Source organism: Homo sapiens, chromosome 22 (genome assembly GCF_000001405.40).
Source record: "Homo sapiens chromosome 22, GRCh38.p14 Primary Assembly".
NCBI lineage: Eukaryota > Metazoa > Chordata > Mammalia > Primates > Hominidae > Homo > Homo sapiens.
The window spans coordinates 47,487,112-47,490,372 of NC_000022.11; positions in this window are offsets into that span (position 1 = coordinate 47,487,112).

The following is a 3,261-nucleotide window of genomic DNA, read 5'->3' on the forward strand; positions in this document are numbered from 1 at the left end:
AATAACCAAAGGAAGGCGTGGCTGCTGGAGTGAAGTTGTAATGCACACCTACGTGTTCCAGGAAGAGGAAGTTTAGAGTTCACAAACACATCTTAGTGTTTAGACTTACTTCTGAATGTAAAGGCCCCTAGCACAACAGAAAGGGCATTTAAGGAGAGAAAGCTTAGGAACTCTGACACCTAGGAACTTGCTCTGAGATTTCACCACTCCTGTGTCCTTTCGTTAATCTGCCAGATGTTCCTGATCAGCCAATGTTTGGAAGAAGGGTAGTTACTGGTCTGCAGCAGGGCACTGGGGCAGGACGCGAGGAGGAAGGCACTGCTTTGGGCCCGGGCAAGGGCCAACTATATGTGACCCCAGGAGCTCCCCTTTTCCACCCCAGGGGCCCCACCTTTGTGTCCAGAGGCCCCTCTACCTAACTGTGTCCTGCATTCGTGGGTTCTTGGTCTCACTGACTTCAAGAACGAAGCCACGGACCCTTGCAGTGAGTGTTACAGCTCTTAAGGTGGTGCGTCTGGAGTTTGTTCCTTCTGATGTTCGGACGTGTTCGGAGTTTCTTCCTTCTGTGTGGGTTCGTGGTCTAGCTGGCTCAGGAGTGAAGCTACAGACCTTCGCGGTGAGTGTTACAGCTCTTAAGACGGCGCATCTGGAGTTGTTCATCCCTCCCGGTGGGCTCGTGGTCTCGCTGGCTTCAGGAGTGAAGCTGCAAACCTTAGCGGTAAGTGTTACAGCTCATAAAAGCAGTGTGGACCCAAAGAGTTAGCAATAGCAACATTTATTGCAAAGAGCAAAAGAACAAAGCTTCTACAGCGTGAAAAGGGATCCCAGCAGGTTGCCGCTGCTAGCTTGGGCAGCCTGCTTTTATTCACTTATCTGGCCCCACCCACATCCTGCTGATTGGTAGACCCGAGTGGTCTGTTTTGACAGGGCGCTGATTGGTGCGTTTACAATCCCTGAGCTAGACCCAAAGGTTCTCCAAGGCCCCACCAGAATAGCTAGATACAGAGTGTGGACTGGTGCATTCACAAACCCTGAGCTAGACACAGGGTGCTGATTGGTGCATTTACAATCCCTTAGCTAGACATAAAGGTTCTGCAAGTCCCCACCAGACTCAGGAGCCCAGCTGGCTTCATCCAGTGGATTCCGCACCGGGGCTGCAGGTGGAGCTGCCTGCTAGTCCCGCGCCGTGCGCCGGCACTCCTCAGCCCTTGGGCGGTGGATGGGACTGGGCGCCGTGGAGCAGGGGGCGGCGCTCGTCGGGGAGGCTTGGGCCGCACAGGAGCCCATGGAGGGGGTGGGAGGCTCAGGCATGGCGGGCTGCAGGTCCCGAGCCCTGCCCCGCGGGAAGGCAGCTAAGGCCCGGCGAGAAATGGAGCGCAGCGCCAGTGGGCCGGCACTGCTGGGGGACCCAGTACACCCTCCGCAGCCACTGGCCCGGGTGCTAAGCGCCTCACTGCGCGGGGCCGGCAGGGCTGGCCGTCTGCTCCGAGTGCGCGGCCCGCCAAGCCCACGCCCACCCGGAACTCCAGCTGGCCCGCAAGGGCCGCGCGCAGCCCGGGTTCCCGCTCGCGCCTCTCCCTCCACACCTCCCTGCAAGCTGAGGGAGCCGGCTCCGGCCTCGACCAGCCCAGAAAGGGGCTCCCACAGTGCAGCGGTGGGCTGAAGGGCTCCTCAAGTGTCACCAAAGTGGGAGCCCAGGCAGAGGAGGTGCCCAGAGCGAGCGAGGGCTGTGAGGACTGCCAGCACGCTGTCACCTCTCCTAACCACCTGGACTCAGGTCAGCTCTTCCTTTCCCTCCTGTAAAATTCATCATTTGCATTTACATGTTGTTTCTAGTGTTTTTGCAAGAATAACATTTTTATTTTTATGTGGTATATAGTAAAGTCCATCAATCGCCCCCTTTATGGTGCTTTCCTTGGATGTTTTGCATGGGAACGGCCTCCTGTCACGAGGTCAGAAAAACATCGATTTCCATTTCCCCCCAGTCCTGCCGTGGTTTCTGTCTTCACCCCATACAGCACTTACCTCCTTAATTGGCAAATGAGGTGAGGTAGGAGTCAAGCTGGAGACCTGCCCCAGAGGTGGACGATTCTGCAGCCCTTTACGGCCCTCTCTAAATGGAAATGCCACTGTGCCAGCTCCTGAATCCTAATGTGTGGAAGTGTCTGCCTGTGGCCTTATTTATTATACTCTTGCCTTAGCATCGAACTGTTTTAGTTTGTATTGCCTTATAGTCCTTTCCTCTCTCTCTTTTCAAAAAAGAAGGAACAGAGAATAAATAGCATGACTGAAGTCCATGCACCTACCAGCTAGCATGAGCAACTATTAACATTCTGGAAGTTTCCTTTAGTTATCTCTCTTTTATAAAACAAATCCAGGCCTTCAGAAAAAATTGAAGACCTCTCCAGGGTTTCTTCTCCTGTGGCTGACCCTCTCTGTCTCTCCCCAGAATCTGTCACTGTCATGAAGTTTGTGTCACTTTTCTTTTGCAATCAACATCATGTATTTTTATTACCTAGATATATAGGTACGCACGCACGCGCACACACACACACACACACACATATGTCTAGCAATCATAATGCTGTTCTAAGTTTTTAAAATGTACGAATATAGCATTCTATGTTATTGGCTTTTACATTTTTTTACTAGTATTTTTGAGACCTAAAATTCATTGTTACTGTTTCGTTGTATTTTTTCATATCACTCCATAGAATGTTATCTACTCATTTCTTTGTGGACTGACACTTGCAGTGCCGTGGTGGACGTTTGTGTGATGTCATTGTGGAAGATGGCGTGTTCCTTTAGGATGCCTGCCTGGGAATGGAGCGTCTAACCTGCAGAGCATCCTCTGAGGATATCGGCAGAGTTTTTAGCAGAGATGTTGTGGCAGTTTATCCCCCGCTGGCTGCATGCGTGTTCTGTTGATTTGCACATCCTTACCAATCCTTGGTGTGGCTGGAACTGGGGATGTTTACAATGCTGTTCACTGTGGTTTAATTTCCATTTCCTTGGTCACTTAGAAAAGTGGGACTCCGGCTGGGCGTGGTGGCTTATGCCTGTATTCCCAGCACTTTGGGAGGCTGAGGTGGGAGGATCACCTAAGATCAGGAGTTCGAGACCAGCCTGACCAGTATGGTGAAACACCGTCTCTACTGGAAAAAAAAAAAAATTAGCCAGCCCTGGTGGCAGGCGCCTATAATCCCAGCTACTCAGGAGGCTGAGGCTGGAGAATTGCTTGAGCCCGAGAGGTGGAGGTTG